At 40.1% G+C, this 24587-nt stretch overlaps 1 long non-coding RNA gene across 2 annotated transcripts, besides 1 other annotated feature; it reads left to right on the forward strand.

Moving 5' to 3' along the window:
- Positions 1–4003: 4003 nt before the first annotated feature.
- LOC105374181 (uncharacterized) lies at positions 4004–19178 on the forward strand. Of its 2 annotated transcripts, XR_924638.3 has the most exons (3): positions 4004–7633; positions 8138–8261; positions 8902–19178. It is a non-coding gene; the product is annotated as an uncharacterized LOC105374181 (long non-coding RNA). The 2 variants fall into 2 exon arrangements; XR_924637.4 differs by having other exon boundaries at positions 4004–8261.
- Positions 6954–7154: a silencer, noted in NCBI's record as "peak4882 fragment used in MPRA reporter construct". NCBI's record gives its function as "represses an SCP1 promoter by STARR-seq MPRAs in K562 erythroleukemia cells {active_cell/tissue: K562}" and the evidence as "EXISTENCE:reporter gene assay evidence [ECO:0000049][PMID:32103011]".
- Positions 19179–24587: the final 5409 nt, after the last annotated feature.

The raw sequence follows: 24587 nt of genomic DNA on the forward strand, positions 1-24587 counted from the left end.
ATGAGGGCACAGGCCTGGGCCTTCTTGATGGGGGTGACAACCTTGGCATCTCCAGGCTCCCCATGGGAATGTGACCCCCACATCCAGCTTGGGCACCAGTGGGAGGAAGGCATGCCTCTTGAGTCTGTGGGAGGAGGTGGGCACTTTACTTAGGCTGACAGGCATGCAAGTGGAAGTGGCATGGCTACTGCTCCTCTACTTCTCTGACTCCCAGCTGCCCCCACCTCTCCACCCAGGGCTCTCTGCATGCCTGACACCACCGCCTCCTTCCAACCATGGTCCTGGTCCCCTCTTCCCTCCCTGGCTGCTGTAGAGCCCTCCAGGCAGTGGTGGCAAACTTTACATAGAAGGAAGCTGCTAGCAAGCCTGCTGGGTGCCCAAGCCCCTCCACAGCCTGCCCTGTGTGCCACCTACCCAGTCCTTGCATCCTGATGCCCACGAGTGTACCTGTGCAACCCAGTAGGACTGCACAGTGACAGCTAGCTTTCCAGCATTTTAGACAGTCTGTTTCCCTATAGTTTACTCCCTGGCTCTGATTTGGTCTTGGTTATTCTGATGCTGAGTTTGGTCTTACGACCCCAATCACAAGTTCATTTTCCTAAAAGCCTATCTGTTCCCTAAATATGTAATGCTCTTTCATGCCCAGAGTCTATGCAATTTCTGTCCCCACTGCTTGGAACATACTTTTTCCAGCTCTTTCTCTGCATGGCAGAATTCTTCTTATCCTTCAGATCTTAGCTAAAATGTCATGTTCTGGGAGAGCTTTTTACTATCTAAAAAACAATTTGTGCTATAATTTCTTACTAATGAAACTTCTTCACTTTACATTTTTCACAAAATCTATGTTTATCTATTATTTTGCTTGATTTTTATCTGTCTCACCCACTAAAATATAAATCGAGGTCAGGGACCCTATCTGTCTTATTCTGTATGTCCTTGGGCCTAATGGTACCTTGCACATGTAGGCACTTAGCTGAATGAGAGATTGTCCTGTTTACCATCTAGGAAGGGAGGGAGACAAGTGGCTTGCTCTGCTGAGAGTACTGCTATCTCTCCCACCCAGCAGGATGGACTTTATTGCTGGATTTATGCAGACAATGACCACTGGCCTCTGAGGCAGTGATTGTTGGTGACTACCATCATGGATGGGCATAGAGAGAAATAGCTTGAGCCTTCAGCCCTCAAGGTCTTGGCTTTTGGTGTGTTCGGCTTCTCTATTGCTCCAACTCTCTAGCTTCCTTTCAAGAAGCAAGGTATATCTATGAGCAGATGTTGAGACAGAACATCTCAATTTCATGTTCACAGATCTTGATTCCTTTGAAATGAGATGTGTGTTCTTGAGGAGGATAAGGGAAAAGCATCTATTAGTGATCTTGCAGCCAACTTTTCACACAATGGTTAGAAGGAAAGTTCTGTATGATGTGGAAGTTAAGACATCAAATAAAAAAATGAGTGAATTATGGCTTGTCTTTGTCTTAAAAAACACTGTGTTGGATTGGTCTCTTTACTCACAATTTTATAGGAGTTGTTTTGTGATGACTGATCAAGTATTTTTGTTGTTATTGCAGTTCATTGGGAATTATAGAAGTCAGCTTTTACTAGGTATTGCTGTAATAACAAAGAACCCTAAAATCTTAATGGCTCACAACAGCAAAGGTTTCTTTCTCATTTACAATATGTCACCTGTGAGTCAGTCTCAGCTCTTTTCCATCTTTATCCTGGGATCCAGGCTGAAGGAACAGTCCCTATTTGGGACATACTAATTTTATAGCAGAGGGAGAAAAGAGAGATAAAGGAAACATAAATGACTTTAAAAGCTTTTGCTTATAAGTGACATGCTTCAATTCCACTCACATCATTGGCCAAAGCAAGTCACATCATCAAACCTGACATCAATGGGGCAGTGTAATCTTCTTACACAGAGGCAGAGCACATGATTGAGAATGTTAATATAATCTTCCACAGGACCTTTCTAATGAAGACCCAAGGTACAGCTGCTGAAAAATTTTGGCAACTTTTTTTTTTTTTGAGATGGATTTCACTCTTGTTGCCCAGGCTGGAGTGCAATGGCGTGATCTTGGCTCACCGCAACCTCCGCCTCCTGGGTTCAAGCCATTCTCCTGCCTCAGCCTCCCGGGTAGCTGGGGTTACAGGCATGCGCCACCACACCCGGCTAAGTTTGTATTTTTAGTAGAGATGGGGTTTCTCTATGTTGGTCAGGCTGGTCTTGAACTCCTGACCTCAGGTGATCCATCCACCTCGGCCTCCCAAAGTGCTGGGATTACAAGCATGAGCCATCACGCCCGGCCTGGCAACTTCTAATGCATAAAAATTAAAGAAATAAAGAATGAATATCTTTAATTATGATGTATTGGCTTTATGCATAAACCACATAATGCAGGACAAAGAGCATGAAATGGAGAATTTGGAGTCTTCGTATGCCAAAATAGTTCGCTGTGTGAGCTGGGTCAAGACATTTATTATAGCTAGGCTCCCATTTCTGCAAAACAAGTAGCTTAAATGAGATGATCTCCAAGTTGCTTACAAATCGAAGATGTCTTTGTTCCTCTGATTCTAAGTGCTTGCTGTGCTGGTGAGTCTGAGTGACAGTAGTGACAATGTTGAGGGCTCAATTTGCAGAGCCTCTTAGGGCTGTTAGAAGGTTTGTAGGCAGGGAGTGAGATCTAAGACTTTTACCCTTAGTTGACATTGGATGGGATGGATCCTGTACTTAATTTCTTCCCACTGAAGCCTTGCCACTTGCTCAAGTGGGGCTGCTGTTCAGTTTAGAAGGGTTTTTCATTCTCAGTTCTCTTAGCCAAAGAGCAAGTTCTGACAAGGTAGCTGTTTGAGTATTGTCAATCAGTGATAATTTTAAAAAGCAGCGGTAAGATGTGAATGAAAACCTTGACTTCAGCCTGGCCCTAAATTGTTAGTTTTTGAAAAGATTTTTTTTTTAAATTAGACTTTGAAAATCTCATCCATCTGCAGCTAATTCTGTATAACTCTTGATGCTGGATGAGCCTCAGGGGTTTGGGAAACTTGTTCAGTGAGATGCTAACCTGAACCTGTCAAGATTTTCTTTTCTCAGTACGTCTATTCTCATTTTCCCTTGCTATTTAGGTCTACTTGACATGTATCTTAAATTAGAAACACTCAGCTCTTTCAACCAGATTTTCAGCTTACATCAGACCCTGCAGAACTTCAGCCACTAAATAAAAAACTGGACCAACTTCTGGTAGACTTCTACATGCCCATTTTTCTTCATCGCAACTTAAATGATTTCATATACAATCATGTACTGCATAATGATGTTTTGATTAATGACAGACGGCATCTGTGACAGTGGTGCCATAAGATTACAATGGAGCTGAAAAATCACTGTCTCCTAGTGATGTCTTGATGTTCCTGATCCTGTGTAGGCCTAGGCTAATGTGTGTGTTTTTGCTGTAGCTTTTAACAAAAATGTTTTAAAAATTAAAAAACAAACAAAAAAATGGGCCAGGCATGGTGGCCCATGACTGTAATCCCAGCACTTTGGGAGGCTGAGATGGGTGGATCTCTTGAGTCCAGGAGTTCAAGACCAGCCTGGGCAACATGGCGAAACCCTGTCTCTACAAAAAATAAAAAAATTATCCAGGCATGTTGGTGTGCCTCTGTAGTCCCAGCTACTCGGGAGACTGAGGTGTGAGGATTGCTTGAGCCTGGGAGGCAGAGGTTGCAGTGAGCCGAGATCATGCCACTGTATACCAGCCTGGGCCACAGAGCAAGACTCTGACTCAAAAAAAAAAAAAAAAAAAAAAAAAAAAAGAGACACTTATAGAATGATGACATAAAGGAAGAAAATGGTTTTGCACAGCTGAAGAGTGTTGTTTGTGTTTTAAGCTGTGTTATGAAAGTCACAAAATTTAAAACATTTAAAAGTTTATAAAGTAAAAAGTTACAGTAAAGCTAAGGTTAATTTATCATTACAGAAAAAAAATTTAAAAATGAATATAAAAATAAATAAATAAATACATAGTGTAGCCTAAGTGTATGGTATTTATAAAGTCTACAATAGTGTACAGTTATGTCCTGGGTTTTTATATTCACTCACCACTCACTCACTGACCCACCCAGAGCAACTTCCAGTCCTGCAAGCTCCAGTTGTAGTAACAGCCCTAAACAGGTGTACCATATTTTATCTTTTATTCTGTATTTTTAATAGACCTTTTTAATGTTTAGATATGGTTAGATACACAAACTTACCACTGTGTTACAATTGTCTACAGTATTTGGTACAGTAACATGCTGTACAGGTTTTCAGCTCAGGAGCAATAGGATATTACGTGTAGCCTAGATGTGGAGTAGGCTACATGGAATACCGTTTGAGTTTGTGTAAGTATACTCTATGATGTTTGCACAATGACACAATCGCCTAACGATGTGTTTCTTAGAACGTATTCCTGTCATTAAGTGACATATGTCTGTATTCTCAAATATGTGTCCTGAAAGTGCTGCTATTCTCTGTGACGTGAAAATATCATTGTCATTGTTATCATGATTAGCAATTAGAATATTAATTTAATTTAATAGACTACTTTCCTCCAATGTGTTAAAACATTTTACATAAATATTATCCCTTGGGGAAGCTCTCACACTTGTGCATCAGGAGATAGGTGAACAAAAGGGTATTTATTGCAGTATTGTTTGTAATCAGAGAAAAGGTGGGGGATACCTTAATATTCACCAATAGGAGACTTGATAAATATATTGTGCTATAACCATACAATATTGATACAGCATTTAAATGAAATGAAATAGAACTACATATATTAATATGAATATATCTCAAAAACAGGTTGAGTGAAAAAAGCAAGTTGCAGAATTATACATACAATATGAAACCAATGACATACCACATAAAAACATAAAGACTACGTGTTAACATATAGATACACCCATTTATAATAAAAATAAAAATAAAATATGCAAGAAGGATACACAAGAATTTTGGTATAATGGTTACCTCTAGGGAAGGAGGGGAAAAATGCACAGGAAATCAATTGATGTCTGTAATGTTTTATTTCTCAAAAAAAGAAGAGAAAGGAAAAAGAAATATGGTAAATGTTAATCTCGGCTAAATCTTGGTGGTGGGCATGAGGGTATTTGTTATTGTTGCTTCATGATTTTTGGCATATGGGAAATCTTTAATAATGAAACAGTCAATTTCTCTTCCCCATTACCCCACTTTTTCTCATAACCTCAGAGAGATAAAGTAGTATTGCATGTGAAAAACAACCTGTCAGACTGGTTTTCTTCATGTGGTTTTGAGGTGACCCCTTCTTTCTTTTTAATTAAAAAACATCACCTCAAATTCAGATTTGAGTAGGTTTCAAAAAAGATCTGGACTCTAAGGGCCTTTCATTTATAATGACTTTTTTTCAGAATTTCTGAGTCCCTTTCCCTGCTCCAGCCGCCTCCATTCTTAAAACCCTCTGTGGGCTTCCTGTTGTTGTCAGGATAAAAACCCCAGGCTGCTCTGAGGCCTGCAGCCCTGAAGCATCCAGCCCCAGCCTCCTCCTCTGACTGTTGGACTTTTTCTACCACATTCATAGTTCTTTCCGTGGAGGCAGGAAGGAGGGGAGTTAGGGTCTTCACAGGTTGGTGGCCTCTGCCAGGCTTGCTGTCACCCCTAGTCCCTCTTCAGCTCTAAGCTCTAGGTGACTCTTCCAGGACGTCTGTGTTGGTCCAACTCTCTGCTGGCTCCCAGTGTCAGGCATGGTTCCTAGGACATATGATCAATATGTATTTGTTAACTCTCACTAACTAACCTGAAATTAGAATTATACAGATTAAATAGAACCAGATGACACTTTAACACCCACCATCCCTTTTATGAATGGTGATATGTTTATTTATCCTTGCTCTATTTTTGCTATACATGACAATGATAGGTATAAAGTTAACTACCTTATCCAATTCATAGAAATTTCTACTATGTGTCTTTGGACATATCTAAATTTAATATTACTTCATTTCAGTGGATCCTAATGTAAAGAGCCTATTGCCTCATGAATTAAGTAGTATTAGTTATTTTTAAGTAAGTTATCTGTAAAATAGATGGTCTGTTCTCCAGGTCAGGAGCATGCATTGATAACAGAAATTCCCAAGAATTTTCACTGAGTTTAATGTCAGTATTGGCAAGCACTGCATGGGAAGGAAATCACAGCAACACATTCTGATAAAGTAGAAGCCTGTCTGAAGCAGGCTTGTATTAAACCAAGGAGTTTAAAATTAAGTATAATTTTTTGATAGTTTCATTGTACCAGGCAGCTTCTTGGAATGGATTCATAGGGTGGCATTAGAATCAGAATCTTCTGGCCGGGCATGGTAGCTCATGCCTGTAATCCCAACATTTTGGGAGGCTGAGGCGGGAGAATCAACTGAGGTCAGGAGTTCGAGACCAGCCTGGCCAACATGGTGAAACCCCGTCTCTACCAAAAATACAAAAATTAGCTGGGTATAGTGGTGCATGCCTGTAGTCCCAGCTACTCAGGAGGCTGAGGCATGAGTATCACTTCAACCCAGGAGGTGTAGGTTGCAGTGAGCCAAGATCGCACCACCACACTTTAGCCTGGGTTTAGGAGTGAGGCTCTGTCTCAAAAAAAAAAAAAAAAAAAAGGGAAAAAAGAAAGAAAAGAATCAGAATCTTCTGAGCTTAATAATGCAAGTGAAAATTTATGTAGTGTCTCTCTTGCTTTTTGTATGAGAGGTTGAAAGCCTGCACATCTTAATAAGGTATACCTAATAACATGTTAATAACTCACATATTGTCCGCTTTGGACTACAGACCTTAAATGAAAGGGCCTTCATAAATTATACATGTCTGACAAATAGGTGATACATTTTTCAAATCACATAAGCTCTTCAGAATCAAGTCTGCTTTGTGGAGATAATTAAAGAAAATCAATGTGTTTTGGTTGATAGATATTTGACTAGAAAACACATTCTCCCCTCAACTCAGACAATGGGGCGCCTAAGCTTCAAGACCAGTGTTCTCTGAAGACAGAGTGAGGGATGGGATTGGAAGGCTCAAGTGTTCTGGGTGCAGGACTTATGACTCCAGACACCAGGTTCTCCCTGTGGTACCGGTCCTGACCCTAACTTCCCACTGAGCTGAGGGCAATTGAGTTGAACTCCTGATCTCTGTCTCTTTCCCTGGGTCAAGGAATATGATTCTTTTTGTCTCACTGGGACCACGAGAGGCTTAATTCATCAATGTTGGTAAAGTGCTAGGAAGATGAGAAGTGCTGTGCCCATTCTAAGCAACATTATTGATTCACTTTTTCCTTGTGGTTAATATAAAGTTCTCCACATATCAGATAATGGCTCAGCGTTGCATAAACAGCCAAGAATCGCTAGTGGGAGAGATGTGGCCTGTGTTTTCTCTTAGGAATATTGATGTCTGTAAAATGCCTTCAGTTTCTCTGAAAAAACATTATTACATGATTTAAGCTGATTATATTATTGTTGTATTTTTATCTGCATATCAGAGTCTTTTTTTATTTGTTTGTATTGTTTTGTTTTTCAGTAATGATCTGAAATAATGTTGAGCCCAGTAAATATTTTATGTTAAGGAAGGCCTAGATTGGTAAAAATTTTGCTTATCTATTTTGGGTTGCCCTGTCCACTAAATAATAGGGGGATACACACACACACACACACACACACACACACACACACACACACACAGAAAACTCTGTGTGTATTTAACATATGTATATAGTGTGTATGTATATGTATACATAATGCTAATGTGCATTACCCATAATTCATAATCTTGTTCATTAAATCACAGGATGTGTGTGTATATGCATATATATGTGCACATAGATACATACACGTATAAAAACATATATCATGTTAATATGCTTACTTATGTATTTACCATTATTCTGAAATAACATGATAAGTAACTGTTAATTATGGCATTTAGCTAATTCACCATTCTTGGAAAGATTTTAGGAATTGCATTCCTGAAATTGCTTTCAACAGGAATTTTATAAGCATATATAGAATCTCAACCAGTTACTTTATTGTTATACTTGAAAAAAACTTGAATTGGAATAATACAGCTTGATCATCTACCTTATAGTTCATCAGACTTGGTTCTGGATCACTTCTTCCTGTTTCCAAATTCTAAACATCCTCAGGAAATGGAGAATTCAACACCACTAGTTATCATAAAAATGGATGTTCAGTGGACTGTCGCAATGAAGGTGAAAATTCCCTTTTGAGTATGTAAAGGTCTAGTTTGTTAAAATGAGCAAACAAACCTGTTTCTAACAGTATTATGGTGATGACTTTTTTAAAGTTCTTATCTTCCCATGGTACCTATTGGAAAAATAAGTCAGTTCCATTGTCCTTTGGTTTCCATGTTTCTGCTAGATGGGATTGCTATGCCAACACGCCCCATGTGTGGAACTGTGTCTCAGTTCCCCCTCTCAGCTCTGCTCAGGTGTCCTCCTTGCACTTTCCTCCCTCCAGTCCCTTGGGCCAGTGGCTCTGTCACTCAGGTGTACAGGCAGCTGACATGGGTGGTAGAAGCAGGGATTATTCTGTAGAGTCACACTATTTTTGTGTAGCTTAGCCATGAAAATAGTCCACATATACGTTACCAAGTTTTTAAGAATTTGCTTGTTTCATTTGTTATTCATTCATTCTTTTCCTATATCATCTATTGGATGCTTAGTGTTTACTAGATGACATGAAACACATTAAAGAGAAGAAGATAGCTCTTTAGGAAGTTATAATCTAGTTGAGTCAAAGCAAATGCTCTATAGAGAAATGATTAATTAAATTATTATGGGCAGAGGCTGGTAGTTGTTCCTCAACATCTGTTCTCCTCATTTTCCTCAGTAACAGAATCCCCAGTTTTCAGCTGGTCACATGGCAGCCCAGAATAAAGCCACATCTCTCAGCCTCCCTTGCAGCTTGGTGTGCCAGTGCCGAAGCTTGGATGATGCTGTGGAGGAGTAAGTGTTCTGGGGCAGCTTCTGAGAACTTCCTTTAAGTGTCAGCTGCATCTCCTTTGGCCCTCCTTTTTCGTCTTCTTCTTGATCATGGGATATGTGGATGTAACTGCTGGAGTTCCTGTGACCATGTTGGACCATGCAGATGAGGGCCTTGCTTAGGAGTGGGGAGTGGAGTCTGGCAGGAGCTGGGACCCTGTGTTCACAGGGCTGCGTATTGCCCTGGACTTTTACATGAGAGAGCTGATGAACTGTGATCTGTCTGTTATTTTGGGTGTCGGACACTTCCAGCCAAATGTGATCCTGATAGGAACGTCCTACAAAGTGAGCACTTTAAGTATGGAGGGGACAATATACAGAGCAGTGATGAGAATGGAGAATGGCAATGAGGGAAGGCTTCCTGGAAGAATCTGCTATCCCAGCCCAAGCTCTTCTCTTATCTCTCATTATTTCTTCTGTCTTACTGTTTTGTGAACATGACGCTTTCTCTCTTCCTGACCTTTGCTCATGCTGTTCCTTCTGCAATGCTTTCTCTGGTTATCTTCCTGCTTGTCTAGTTAATTTTATAATTATATTAAATTATACAGTCCGCATAAGTACTTAACACGGCTAGTAAATCTGTGTAAACACCACGTACATTTTGCTGTTATGCTCCTTATCATGATTACTAGCCAGGTCAAATTTTGCCTCTTTTCCGAAACCTCTCTTGAACACTCTTCCTCTTTGGTACTGCAGTAGTACTGCCACTCAGTACCCTAACACCTGACACTTAAAATGTATTTCACTCACATCAGAACCCTGATATCTGGCACCTAGTGGTGCTCGGGAAATGTTTGCTGAATGCAACTGTGTTATACCAGTTCTGTTTAGGGGAAGTAACTCTGTGTTCTGTTTAGGGGAAGTAACTCTGGCTAGTTATTTGTGTAGCTACTACTCAAGAGGAATGGAGGGACAAGATCAGTGTGGCCCCCAAGCTTCCGTCTTCTTTGTCTCCTGGCTTCTTTGCCATTGTGTCACCTCCCCATCCTCAGGCTGTTATTCTTATGGCCACTTCTGTAAAGGAAGGTCATAGCAAAACAGCTTCAGCCTTGCCTTAGCTTGCCTCCTGAATCCTCAGCTTTGCCGACCTGAATTCTAATCACTGCTTTTTAGGGGTCAGAGGAATGGAGGCAAACAAACAGATCAGTATGGGGTTGGGAGGAGTCAAAGCTGTATTTGCAAGGTTACTCCATTTTGACAGCAACAGGACTGGTATTTGAAGGCAATTTTTTTTTTTTGAGACGGAGTCTTGCTCTCTTGCCCAGGCTGGAGTGCAGTGGTGCAATCTTGGCTCACTGCAAGCTCCGCCTCCCAGGTTCATGCCATTCTTCTGCCTCAGCCTCCCGAGTAGCTGGGACTACAGGCGTGTGCCACCAGGCCGGCTAATTTTTGTATTTTTTTTTTTTTTAGTAGAGACGGGGTTTCACCTTGTTAGTCAGGATGGTCTTGATCTCCTGACCTCGTGATCCGCCCACCTCGGCCTTCCAAAGTGCTGGGATTACAGGCGTGAGCCACCACGCCCAGCCTGAAGGCAACTTTTATACAGTATTATGCTATCCTTTGGTTTACATGTTTCTGCTAGATGGGATTGCTATGCCAACACACCCCATGTGTGGAACTGTGTCTCAGTTCCCACCCTCAGCTCTACTAAGGTGTCCCCCTTGCACTTTCCTCCCTCCAGTCCCTTGGGCTATTGGCACTGTCACTCAGGTGTCCAGGCAGCTGACATGGGTGGTAGAAGCAGGCATTATCCCGTTGTCTCAGTTGGGCTTATACAGGGACTCCTGCTTGGTCTTTGGGAGTTCAGATGCTAAAAAGTCCCCTGTCAAGAATAAGGAGGGCCTTGACACTGAAGGGATGAGGCAGATTTTGCTCCAGATGGTCTTTGGAAAAAGGAATTAGTACAGCCAGATTGGAAAGTTTTAGTGATTGAGAAAGAAGTACTGATTTTGATGAATCATTTCCACAGTCCCTGCCCTATTTCTTGGTCTTGTCTCTGTTTGGAGGACTGAGTGAAAGTGTCCATCCAGCTTCCTCCCATCGGTGCTAACAAACTGCACTGGCTGGATTTTGGTACCACATTCCCACGGTGGTATGTCTTAGGTCTCAGGCCAGCGTCCAAAGAGACCATATATTATTGTAATTGACTATTTTATTGAGACCCTTATAATCATACCTACTTTACCCAGTAAAGCAATTCTTGCTTTCTTATTCACAAGCTTTTTCCGGATAGTAGGTGATTACAATATGTCCCTCATCTAAGCCTCCACCTATGATTTCCAAACAGTAAAGTTCCTCAGCTGAATATTAGTTATCCCTCTTGTTTTTTTTAAAAGTGACATTAGGAAATGGCTAAACATTTTATTGCCTTCTTATTGTCATCTGCTTTTCCTCCACCCACCTCCTGGGTAGGTACAACAGAGCTTGCAGGGTGGCAGTGGTAGAATGGCATGTGGGCCATAGACTTGTTTCATTTGGCTTGTAGAGAACTTAACATTTTGAGGAGGGATTATTTCCTAGTTAATAAGTGGGAGATTTCAACTCACATAAAAACCTAGATTCCCAACTTTTAAAAAGTCAGTTTCCACTTGATGACAGTCAGCTACTACTGGGCAATGGTTGCCTCTCTTAACCAAGGCATTTTCTCACCAGTTCACCATCACTGGCCCACATTTGTCTAGCTTCTTCATTATCTGCTTAGCCCAGAGGGCATTTGGTTTGAGACCCTTGACACAGCCCCCTTCTCCAGCTCCCACACTTTTCAGTGTCTGCTTTGCTACTCCTGCTGTCTCAGATATTCCCTCCAATGGGCCTTTTCCTCACCAATCCCGGCTGTAACAAATCCTGTACAGCAGCCCTATGCACTCTTCCTGGGGAAGAGCTCTATGCTTTATTTCCCCACAGATTTAGTTGCAGTTGGGAAGCTGAGTGCTGACCTCCAGGTAAATATTGGAGATCTATGGGCAGATCCCAGCCTGTTGGCTGGAGGTGCTAGTTCTGGTGCCATGGACATATGGGTCTGACCCTGCAGTCTTTTGCCCTGCTCCTGAACTCCCAGTTTTGAGCTTGATTGCAGCCTACAATTAGGGGCAGAGCAGTATGGGGAGTTGTTTTTATCCTTTTGGAGAACTGTGGGCTTTCCCCATAATAAATGCTGTAATATAATGATAACCGCACAGTTGCTTTACAGTTTTTTCGTTAAGTTCCTTCTTATAAATCATTCCTTTACATGTCTCAATGACCTGATGAAGTAGGTGTTATTATGGCCCCTGTTTTGCAGATGAGCCCTAGAGGAGGCTCAGAGCACCTGCCCAAGATTTCATGGTCACAGCCCATCAGGGTCTCAGGCGCCCATGGTTTTTTATTTAAAAAAATTGTTTTAAGCTATCATACTGCTCACTGTGTGGCCTCAATTTTAGGCTTGAATGTTTCTCCAAATCTGTAAATGCCTATAGACACAACTTAGCACACAGGAGCATCAGGGTTACTAGTTACATTCACCCTATCACTGAATAGGCCATCAACAGAACCCAAAGAGAAAAAAATCCCCAGTACTGTTTATATGCCAGTGAATTTCTCAACCTAAACTCTCTGAATCCTGAGCTATAAATGTTAGAAATATATACATTTTTAGTAACAAAAATGGCTTTGGCATTTCTAAATATTCAGAAATTTGCAACCATTACCTTCTTTATTATATCTACACACCTTTATATTCTTAATTGTTTAAAATTCAAAATTGACAGATGTTAAAAAAGTTGGTTACATTTTAACTAATAATAATCATATGGGTTTGATATGCTGGCTATGTTTTTTAAATGTCCATGGAAATAAATATATAAGTACGAATTTTGTTTTAAAGATTTTCCATGTATTATCTAAAATTATGGTACATTTGTCACCCCTTGGGGAAATCCTGCTTCTGATGGAAAAAACCATGCAAATTGCAGCTCTTTATTTTTGTGTCACTGGTGAGCTTCCCTGGCTCAGTGTTGTGAGTGCATGATGTATAATGCGACAGGCATGGAACTGTAAATGAAAATAAAATTTCAGGGCCCTCTAAATTTATTATGCCAAGGGAAGTTACGCCCTGGAGACTGAACCACATAGTATACTTGCAATTCTGCTTCTTAGATTATAGATTAGCTCTCTTCTTTATTGTTCTAGTTCTAAAATGACTAGGAGAGACCAGAGACCAGGCCTTCTACCCCTTCTAATCACTGATCTTTGTTCTAGGTTAATTGCCTCTTTTATTGTCCTGTACCTAACTCAGACCATATGGTGCCCAAGAACCCATGATTGTACCCATCTTCATATGGAATGTTTAATATACCTCTCCTGAAAGAAAAAAAGACCACTTTGACTAATCAGATCATTGAAAGTATGCATTAAGCCTAACATAGAAGGGTGTCGAAATTCTGTTAAGCTTCCCTATACTTTATGTAAGCAATTGCAAACTTCTACACTTCACGACACTGACTTCCATTCTTTGGGATCTGTGCCTCCCAGGAGGCTCATCCTCAAACTTTGCATTTGAGTAAACTCTTTTAAAACTAGATTCTGACAATTTTGATCATTTTAGGTTGACAGAACAGATTCACTGGGGGGACCTGGCAATAGTGTGTTGCTGTCACTATCTATCTGTTGCGCCTTCCTAGGGTTTTGTGTGGTCATGAGCAGAGCTGGTGTTTTGGAAGATACTGAGTGTGCTGAGCACATGTGATGACCCATGTTCTTTGAGAGACAGTCCCTTATGGTGGTTCTTTCTCAAGGCTGGGGACTTGCATTCTTCACCAGGCTTTGTGGAGAATCAAAATTTATCCCTTGTTGAAAACCTCCACCTGTAAGAGCTTACAGTGGGAACTTTGAGACTTTTGAACTCAATTAAGCAAATTTATGCATATCGTAAGCTAGTTATTAATTTGAACAAAAGGTCCTGATCCTTTTTTAAAAACATGGATTTCTACTACTAAAGAAAAAATTAGAAAATTTATATACATTTATTTTTAAAAATCACTACACTGAAAGCAACATTAAGGCCAACAGGAATTCTTTTGGTTTATGTGCTAGGAATTGTTGCCTGGATCCCAGTTTCTTCCCAGGCACTGAGTTTATTGATTGAGTTATCCATGTGGTTCATATTGGTAGAGTAGGGCGTAACCAGCTTATAAGATTCAGATCTGGGGAAATAAGAACTTGGCAGATGCCCATTGGACTAGCTGGAGAGAAAAAGAATCTGATAGCTCAACCTGTTGTATGTATCAACTTGGCCCACTGACCCACAGAACAATCACTGTATAACATTTCTTTATACATTTTTTAAAAGCATATATTGTTGTTTAGAAATGTTTATCCATTCTAATAGCTGTAGTGTTCTTCTGAAAAATAATTTGTAATTTGGAAGGGATTATGCTTTTTAAAATGTATGCATTTGGTCTGGAATAGCCCTCAGAGGATATCCACACATATAAGTAGCAGGCTACAAACAGGACTTGGATTAATAGACCACAGGGGGCTATTTATATGGAGAGTTTAAGTGCATGTTATTGTTATTTCTAAATTGTATTAATAATAATACCCTACACCTGTCCAGCATGTGTATGAGATTTTACTGTTCTACAGAGTGCTGTTGTATACATCATTGCATTTGTTCCCCACAACAACCGTGGGAGGGAAGTTGGGATATTTTTAAGTGTTGACACTGAAGTCCTTTGCTTGAGATAAAAAGTCCCAGTAAGGTGTGGGAAGGAAAAGACGCGAAGGAGACACAAGCATTATTTTCACTGTATTTTTGACTAGTGTCATTGCAAGTGTTCAGATTGGTTTTGGACATTTTAGTCCCCTGGGAGAGACCGTATCTCATTATTTCTTCCACCTGGTAGGTGGAGTACTCTCTCAGAGGAAAAGCTGCAAAATTAAAGGAGAATGCTATCTTCCACTTCACAACGCTTAATAGCAAACTTTTGGATTCCTCACTGAACACTTTTCTATATCCTTTTCGTTTCAATATGCGCCATTTCTGGTAAGATCTGGAAAATCAAATAAGCATGTAGAGATTGTCAGAGGAAACACAAGATTCTGTTATTATAGGCAGTAGAGATCAAATTGTGACTTACATATTATAGGTGGAATATTTTGGGCTTTCCTGAAACATGGGAAACCAGAGACAAGCTGTATAGTATGTTGATAGCCAAGCTGGAATAGTGAAACTAGGACTCTGGAATCCTGGAACCTGTACTGAGAAATATTTAAATAATTTATTATGATTATTTCCACAGAATACAATTCTAGGATGAAATGCTAATTTTATTTGACTTACATAAAGGGAAATTATTACTGCAGTTACTTTTAAAGAGCTCCCTGGGTTTTCTGGGAGTATCTGAATTAACAGTAAATTGAGCTCCATTACATATTAATGGGTCCAGCTGATTTATTGGTGGTATATCTGGCAATTAGCCATTCTGCATAGTGTCTTCTGTTTGGCCATTACTTTTCACTATTGAGTGCAAGCTCAGGGATGAGCACCTTGAAGCAATGGGGAAGTCTGCCTGTCAACCTAATAGGGCCTTGCATCATTTTAATGGTGAGTTATGATCTGTCTTGAAGGATATTTGGACACACTTAATATCTTTTGGATGACAACCATTGGAGGCATAAATGAAAGTACATGTTGTCATTGAACCACTAAAAATCTTCACTCAGTCACCAGATAGCCATTATGTTATATTAATCTCTTTGGATATTTCCTTTATTTTAAAAAATTATACAATTTCTTCTAGCTTCTGTGGCACTTACAGAATGAATTGCTGTGAGTTCAGTGTAGCACAGCAAGTTATGGCCAACAGTGGTTATTTGCAAGAGTTACTTTGGGTTTCCTAATTTGTCCTCAAGAGAAATATTTTTTGCTCAGCCTGCAAAATGTTGTCATAAAAATTGGTGATTGATTTTGATTATAAGATTAAATGGCTAGGCTACAGTGGCCAATGTTGTAAATCAAAGCAGCCCAAAGTTGTGATTGGCCACTAGAGAAGGTTGTAACTGTGTTTTCTTGAGTTGATATATTTCAAGTCTTTATAGTATTGACTCCTAAAGTTTACTGAAACAGTATTTAAAGCATCTTTCTACAGTGTTTTAAATTAGTTTCTAGTACAATTTAGCTTTGCCTATCTAAACATGCAGTAGTAGAAGAACATACATGAAAATTCTCTTCTTAGAGGGAAAGCAGTTTAAGAGTTGGTGAGGGCATGGAATTTGTGAAACCTAAGTTAATTGTCTGAGTTTTTATTGGATATTTTTTGTACTTGGCTATTCAGAATTAATTTCTCCTTCCTAAAAAATTCTTTGCAGGAGGGACCCTTTCCCCATTGTTTATAGTTTGGTGCCATCCCTCTTTTTCCGAGGGGCTAGCCCCTGATCCAACATAGCCAAAGGGATGTCCCTTTCTGAAGTTTGACTGTTGAGTAGAAGAACAAACACCGAAAAAGTTTGGAGTTCCTAATTTCCAGTCTGATCAGATTGTTCCTATCACTGTCATAGTCTGGCCATCTGCGTGACAACTGTTTTTCAAGTCTGTTTCTCCTACATTTGACAATTCCGGGAGCCCCATGGTAACATCCTAATAAATTCTACTTTGCTAACCAAGCCCGAGGTGGTTTCTCTTACTTGAAACAAAAGACCTTAATATATAAATTGGGCATTTGTTAACCCACAAGAAACTGAGGCTTCCTGATTGGACTGTGAATATTTATTCATTAATTTATTCACCAAATGTTTATTGAGCACCTACCGTGTGTTAGGTACTCTTCTCTGTTAGGGAAACAGAAGCGAATAAAACAAACAAAAAGATGCGCCTTCATGAAAGTTGCATTCTAATTAAGGGGGATAGATGATAAGCAAGATAAATATATGTCTTTATTTTATATATAAATATATGATATCCAAGTTAAGGAGTGATAAGTGCTATACATATTCATGTAAAATATTTTTCATATTGGTTCTTTCCTTTTAAAGTCCCACAGATCAGATAAGCCTGTTGGGGGTGGATGATGAGATGGAATGACTGGGACTGAGGCTCTGCCACTCTCTTGTACCTTGCTCCATCTGCATATCTCCCAAAGGGCTCCTAGTCAGGATCTAAGCCAAGGGAGAACTATTCAGATGAGTAAGGATGAGTGTCTGCTGAAAGTAGAGACCTGGAGAATAGAGGACTTGGGTAAGACATGGAAGTGGCAGGAGTTGAGCAAGGGTTATAGTCTTGGAGAGGGGGAGATTTTTCCCTTGGTGGCCCTGCCTTCAACGGGCCCCAAAGGGCTCTGGTAGGTAGAAAGATGACAATAATATTGACTCAGGAAAGTCAGACTGGGACTTGGGCAAGTGATCAAGGATACCAACTGATCTGTGGTAGGGAAGGGGAGTCCAGGTCAGAAAGGGAAGGAAGCATCATGGGATTGTGTGAGACAGAGCTAGGTAGCAGCTCTCAGAATTGGTCAGGGATCGTTGAAGGGAAGAGAGCTTGCCACCACTAACCAAGGGGATCCCATGAGGGATGAAAACTTAGAAAAGGGCTCAGACTCCCTCAAGAAGAATAGAGGTTGAGGGGAGCAAAAGGAGTATTTGTCTTCTTGCTTGCAATGAAATCTAGTATTGAGGACACTCCCTAACCTGATGTGTACTTGAGGTCAAAATGAAGAGGTTTGGTGAGAAGTGCTAGGATGTGGTTATGCTAAGGTGGGAAGGATCCACACCAGCCCCGTCAGTCTGGAAACAGAGGATGTGACAGAGAAGATAACTTTCCACCACTCCTGGAGACTCCTGATTGGTGTGTTGGTCACCCACAGAGAGGGGCTGGGTATATGGAAGAAAAACACATGCCAACAAGGAAGAATCCCAGTCATTTGTCAGCTACCTGCTACTGGCCTGGAATGAAAAGAAAAGTTATGATACTTATTGATTTCCTGGTAATGTGGACAGACAGGAACAGAGTAGGCTGAACAAATACTTGACAGGTTCAGCTGGGAAATGAGCACCAAATTTTCTGGAACATATTCATTCCTGATGATTTTCTATAGGAATAAATGACACTTTCAGAAGAGAACCTTGAAATGAACCTTGAAATGCCTTTAAGGTTTATGGAAACTTGGGCATCTAATTTAAGTACATGAAACATTGCTTTTGTTATATATTGCTGCACAAGGCACCCCAAAAACTTAGTAGCTTAAAACAACAGTTTTTTATGGTATGATACAGTTCTAGATTCAGCTTGTGGTCCTTACTTGCAGTCAGATTGTGGTTGGGGCGGTAGCCATCTGGAGACTCACCAGGGCTAGAAGATCTACCTCCAAGAGGGTTTATTTTCTCATACATCTGGCATATGGGCTGGGGTATCTGGAATAGCTTCAGCCTGGCCAGGTTCCATCTTTTTTCCACGCAGTCTCTCTGCATCATTATCTTGATATTCCTCATAGAATGAGGGTCTCGGTATAATTGGATTTTTTTTACATCGTGACTGATTTTTCTCAGAGCAAGTGTTCTATGAGAGCAAGGCAGAAGCAGTGAGCCTTCTTATGACCTAGCCTCAGAAGGCATCACGAATTATTTCTATCTCATTCTATTGGTTATAAAGACTAGTCCAAAATCATCTTGGGAATGGACTACACAAGAATGTGTATAACTAAAGGCCTGTTCACTGTGTGTGTGTGTGTGTGTGTGTGCACATGCATGCATGCATATATATTGGAGACTTCTACCACGAGCATGGTGTTTTCTTCTCCTTGGCATATATTATGACTTTAGAAGAGAAAGGAGATCTTTGATGAATCATTGGCCTTGAATTTCTACAATAGGATTTAAGATGCCTTAGTGACAGGCTCTTGCAAAACTATCAAGGTCACCACTAAAGGAAGAACCTGTTTTTCCCAGAAGTATTCCAAAGACTTTCTGAAACAGAACTCAATTTTAGGACGTAGGGGAAAAGTGAATCACCTTTATGCTGTTCAGAGGAGAGTTTGAATAATATCAATAAGTTTTATATCTATATAGATATGAATATACTTAAAGTTAGATGATGTTTTTTAAGAAAGTAAATGAATGAGCATAAATTTTTTTTAGACTTCATAACAAAAAACATTTAAGTAGCCACAACCTAACAAGCCCTGCTCACCTGCCTCTTCCCCTTCCTGCCTGGGAGGGGGCTCCTTGGTGTGCAGAGCCACAAAGTGGGGGTCCAAATTAGGGAGCTCCGAGGTCCTCCCCACAGGCCTTGTTGTCAGCCGTGGGTCCAATGATGAAGGTGATGAAGACAATGATGAAGAAGAAGAAGAACTAGAAGTTTGTCTTGGACCTTGATGGAGCATGGAGAATGCACTCTTGAGGGAGCTCAGAGCTGGCTGCCCCGATGCCTAGCACAGTGTCTGACAGGTTTAGTTGAGAAATATGCTATTCTGGAGTGTGCAACAGATTGTTTTATAAAACATGCTCGTGATGTTCACCCACTTCTCATGATTTTTTGTCAGGACTAGTTTAGACATGGATACTTTTACAAGGGGATATTCCTTTAAGGTTATAAAAAAATCTTGGTCATTATCATAGCCCAAGGCATAGTTGTAAGGGGATCATTGACTCTCTGGGTGTCTTCTAAGGCTACTTTTGGCTAAAAGCAGAGCATCTTCAACATTTTTAATGTGATATTTTTTCTCTACTGAAGAGATGAGAAAGTCAAAAGGAAACTGCCACTGGTTCTAATTCTAACCATGAAGGGTGTATTGGTTAATGCTAAAGGAAGAATAGAGAAGAGCAGGAGGAACAGACTTCCACTGGGAAAGAGTTCATGATTGCCAGTGAGGGAAAGCACAATCAGACTGTGCTAAAGGTGTCAAAAAGTTGAGAAATGAAAGATGTGTTATTTCAATGGCATGATATCAAGGGAGGGAAGATGACCCAGGTGGTGGGGGAAGCTTACAAAAATTCAATGTTAACTCTGAAAAGGTGGTGCTAAGGGGTGGCTTGGAAAGCTTTAGCTTTCTCTCCTCACTAATCTTCATTAGCCCTCTACCAAGCCCTAATAATGAGAATAATAAAAATATGTTTTTTTATTGATATGAATAATAGGTATCTTATTAATTTCATTTAAAGTATGAAAGCAAACTTATTCACCTGACTATTTTAATTTGTCTGTAATATACATACAATATAGGCAAAAGATACTTGCTTAACATTATTACCACCTCAAAGCAAGACCTAGCTCTTGTTTCAGTCAGATTTCCACCATCCCTAAGGTCCTTCTATAATTCTGGAGCCAGTACTGTGACTGTCCTATTGCAACCATCTGAATAAGCAAATGGAGAGACCTAAAGAAACAAATAGTTCAGATTCTTTCTTTCTTTCTTTTTTTTTTTTTTGAGATGGAGTCTCGCTCTGTTGCCCAGGCTGGAGTGCAGTGGTGTGATCTCGGCTCACTGCCTCCTGGGTTTAAGCGATTCTGCTGCCTCAGCCTCCCAAGTAGCTGGGACTACAGGTGCGTGCCACCATGCCCAGATAAGTTTTTTTGTATTTTTAGTAGAGACGGAGTTTCACTCTGTTAGCCAGGATGGTCTCGATCTCCTGACCTTGTGATGTGCCCACCTCGGCCTCCCGAGTTCAGATTCTTAAAAATGTATTATGTAATAAAAAAGAAGGAAAGAAAGGTATCTACAAGGATAACGATAAAGACCAGTATGCACCAGTAAAGTGGTATCATGAATGCTAAAATCCCGAGTTGAAGCTTGGAAAAATGGCAAGGATGACAATAGATTTTTTTTTTTTTGAGATGGCATCTTGCTCTGTTGCCCAGGCTGGAGTGCAATGGTGTGATCTCGGCTCACTGTGACCTCCTTTGAGGTCATAGCCACTCCTCAAATCCACTCTTGGTGCAGAGTCACATGTTCTTCTTGGCCATGGTTTTTCAGATCTGTGTGCCTCCAAAATCTCTTGAATTTTATGTTGCAGCACCTATGGCTATTTTAACTTAGTGAATTGTTTCATTAACTGTATTTTTATACAGCCCACTGTATTTTATACAGCCATTGTCTCATAATTCTAACTTAATTCTCTTTAGAGCTTACTTTCTGTTTCCAACAGAAGCCAAATGGAAAGGTGACATGGCAGGAGTGGCTTCCTGGTCCATATCTTTCCTGAGTACCATATTTCCCAATCAGTGGGATAATTTTCTAATCTGTTTTAGCATCTGAGAGAGTGTCTCCTAATCTTTTCCATTTTGCCAATTTGCAGATAATTTAAGTATAATTGTTAAATGTACTCATTAACCACTTCACTGAAGTGCAAACCCATAAACTTGGTTCAGAACACAAACAACTTTCCGTTACAGGGGCCATATCTCTTTGCTGGTAACAAATCCAAACTTACCCAGCATGTATATTTCCAAAATACATCAAAATGGAATTTAAAGGGTCATAAGAACACAGCTATAAAGCAGTTTTATCCCACTATGTTATTTCTCCCAGATTATACTATGGCCTTTTTTTTCTCCCAGGGGCCCCCAGGGATTGAGCCCAAAGCAATAACCAATGAGGTGGTTTTCTGGATCTGGAAAAGAGATCCAGAAAGAGTGGCATTTGTTGGCCTTCAAATGCCACTTTGGGGTTGTTTGCTGTGTCCATGTCTGGGTCTTATTTACAAACTCAAATGTTAACAGGAAAAATCCACTGCACATATTCTTAAATCAAATAAAAGAAAGCCACCAGAAAAATCCTAATGGCACTGTGGCTCTGAGAAAATAGAAGTTATATGAGTTGAGGAAACCTGAAGAACAAAGCTTTCTTCTCTTAGATCTAAACCCCCAGAAAGTCTGACAATAGCATATTCCACCTAGAAATAAAAACATTTATCTTTTTATGGTTGAGAACAAAAAAGAGACGCAGACTGCTGAAAAGAGCTTTTCTCCCCCACCAAATGGTCATGCCACATAGGTTAATCTGCCCGTTGTTTATGAGTACTAGCTTTGTGCAAGGGCTTCCCTGGACAATGTGAGATATGAAGGTGATTCATGGCAATCCAGGTTGGCCCTGAAGCAGTTTTGTTCCTCCAGAACCTGGTCATAGTGAGAAGAAGGTGTTGGCAGTAGACCTTATCTCTGCACAAGAAAAGCAGGACAATGTAATTTGGTGGCTTTGGAATTAATGGAATGGAACTGTCAGGATCATCACAGCATTGGCTCGAGCAACAACTGAACTAGGCTTCCATTCAGCCTCACACATGGTTTCTTCCAACGCACTAATTGTTCACTGTGATTCATACATCGTTCTGACAAGATGGCAAATGGAAAATGCAGAAAGTAATTAAAATAAGTGTGTGGTTTCAATTATCATAAAATTCAGCCCTGAGCTGAATGTCATTATCAGGGAGAACCTGGAGAAGGGCTGCATTTGAGCATGGAGGACAAATAATTTCTTCGTTTGTCTTTTATAACAAAAATTTAGCTCAGAGAAATAGACTGAAGAAAGAGAGGCTTCAGGCTTAAGCTGATAGTTCTTTCCAAAACTTAAAAATGGGAATTCTTTGTCACTGGTTATGATCAAATTTTCTAGGGCCTTATGAATATATATACACTGATCAGGAGGGCTATAAATGAATTTATACATGGGTTGCATATGACCATGTAAGTTTTGTCTCTTATTGAAACAAAATAACATTGGAATTATAGTTGGTCTTATGAATATTTCTTATAATTATAGTTATACATTTCTGAAATCATTTTCCACAGACCAATCATTGGGAAATCAAATATTTGCCCATTTTGAAAGTCTGAAAAGTACTTTATAACTTATGTTTATTATTATTATATAGTGATGCTTATTGCATATATTGTAGAGAACAGATAAAACTATAAAGAGGAAACTTTTTTTTGCATTCTAATGAGGCTGAGCTAATCTCTATACATCTTGTGCTCTTAAAAAATGTGTATATATGTGTCTATATGTTAACGTAACTAGTTTTATACTCTATAATGTTTTCTATCATGATTTTTCTCACTTTCCATTTTATTGAAATATCTATGAAAGTTTGTTTTTAATGACTGCATAATATTTTATTTTGTGTCTGTGCTATAACATTCAACCTATATGTAGACATTTGGGGTTATTGCCCACATCTTTGGTGCATAAAAATTTGTCTGCAACCTTAATGGTTTTCTTTAGATGTTCAATTTCTTTAGAAAAGGTATAACGCCATCTTTAAAGGTTGCTCTGGTACAAACGGACAAATGTTGAACAGTTGAATTCAAGAAGATCTAATTTTTCAAGTCAGGAAATTATTTCTGGACTGATACCTCTACTCTAATTTGGTTTTCATGATGCCAGGGTTATTCAGACTTTAGATCCATGCAGACTTGGATTCAGATCCTAGCTCTGCTGCTTACTAACTACTTGATGTTGGTCAAATAACTCAACTCCCCTATCTAATGTTCTCATCTATAAAATGAAAGCAGTAGGACAGGTGCAGTGACTCACACCTGCAATCCTAGCAATTTGGAAGGCTGAGGCAGGTGGATTCCTTGAGTCCAAGAGTTCAAGACCAGCCTGGCCATCATGGTGAAACCCTATCTCTACCAAAAAACAAAACAAACAAACAAACAAACAAAAAGGTAAAATTAGCTGGGTGTGGTGGCACATGCCTGTAGTCTCAGCTCCTCGGGGGACTGAGGTGGGAGAACTGCTTGAGCCCAGGAATCAGAGGTTGCAGTAAGCTGAGATGGTGCCACTTCAGTCCAGCCTGGGTGACAGAGCAAAACCCTGTCTCAATAAAGTAAAATAAAATGGGATAAATAGTAGGTTTTCTGTGAGGATTCAGTGCCTGACTCTTGCTAGGGGCTCACAGAATATTTGTTTGTTTTTCAAGGAGTATGCAAACTGATGGAGATGTGGAGGTCAGTTGGATGATGAGGGGACAGAAATGCATAATCACACTTGGAGACATCTGCTTCACTCCATTTAAAATTTATTCTAATATAAAAATTCACAATGAACAGGGATTGATATCATTGGATGTCTGTCCTTTCCAAATCTTGTATTGAAATGTGATCCCCAGTGTTGGAGGTGGGGCCTAGTGGGAGGTGTTCGGCTCATGGGGATGAATCCCTCATGAATTTCCTGGTGCTGTCCTCATGTAATGAGTGAGTTTTTATGAGATATCGTTGTTTAAAAAGAGCTTGGCACTTCTGCCTCTCTCTCTTGCTCCTGGCTTGCCATGTGATGTGCCTGATCTTTCTTTGTCTTCCACCATTATTGTAAACTTCCTGAGGCCCTCACCAGGAACAGATGCTGGCACCATGCTTCTTGTACAGCCTGAATAACTATGAGTCAATTAAATCTCTTTTCTGTATAACTAACCCAGTCTTAGGTATTTCTTTGCAATGCAAATGGACTAATATAAAATTGGTAGGAGGAGTGAGATGTTGCTATAAAGACACCTGAAGATGTGGAACAAGCTTTGGAACTGGATATCGGGCGGAGGTTGGAAGAGTTTGGAGGGCTCAGAAGAAGA

This window comes from Homo sapiens, chromosome 3, assembly GCF_000001405.40.
Source record: "Homo sapiens chromosome 3, GRCh38.p14 Primary Assembly".
Lineage (NCBI taxonomy): Eukaryota > Metazoa > Chordata > Mammalia > Primates > Hominidae > Homo > Homo sapiens.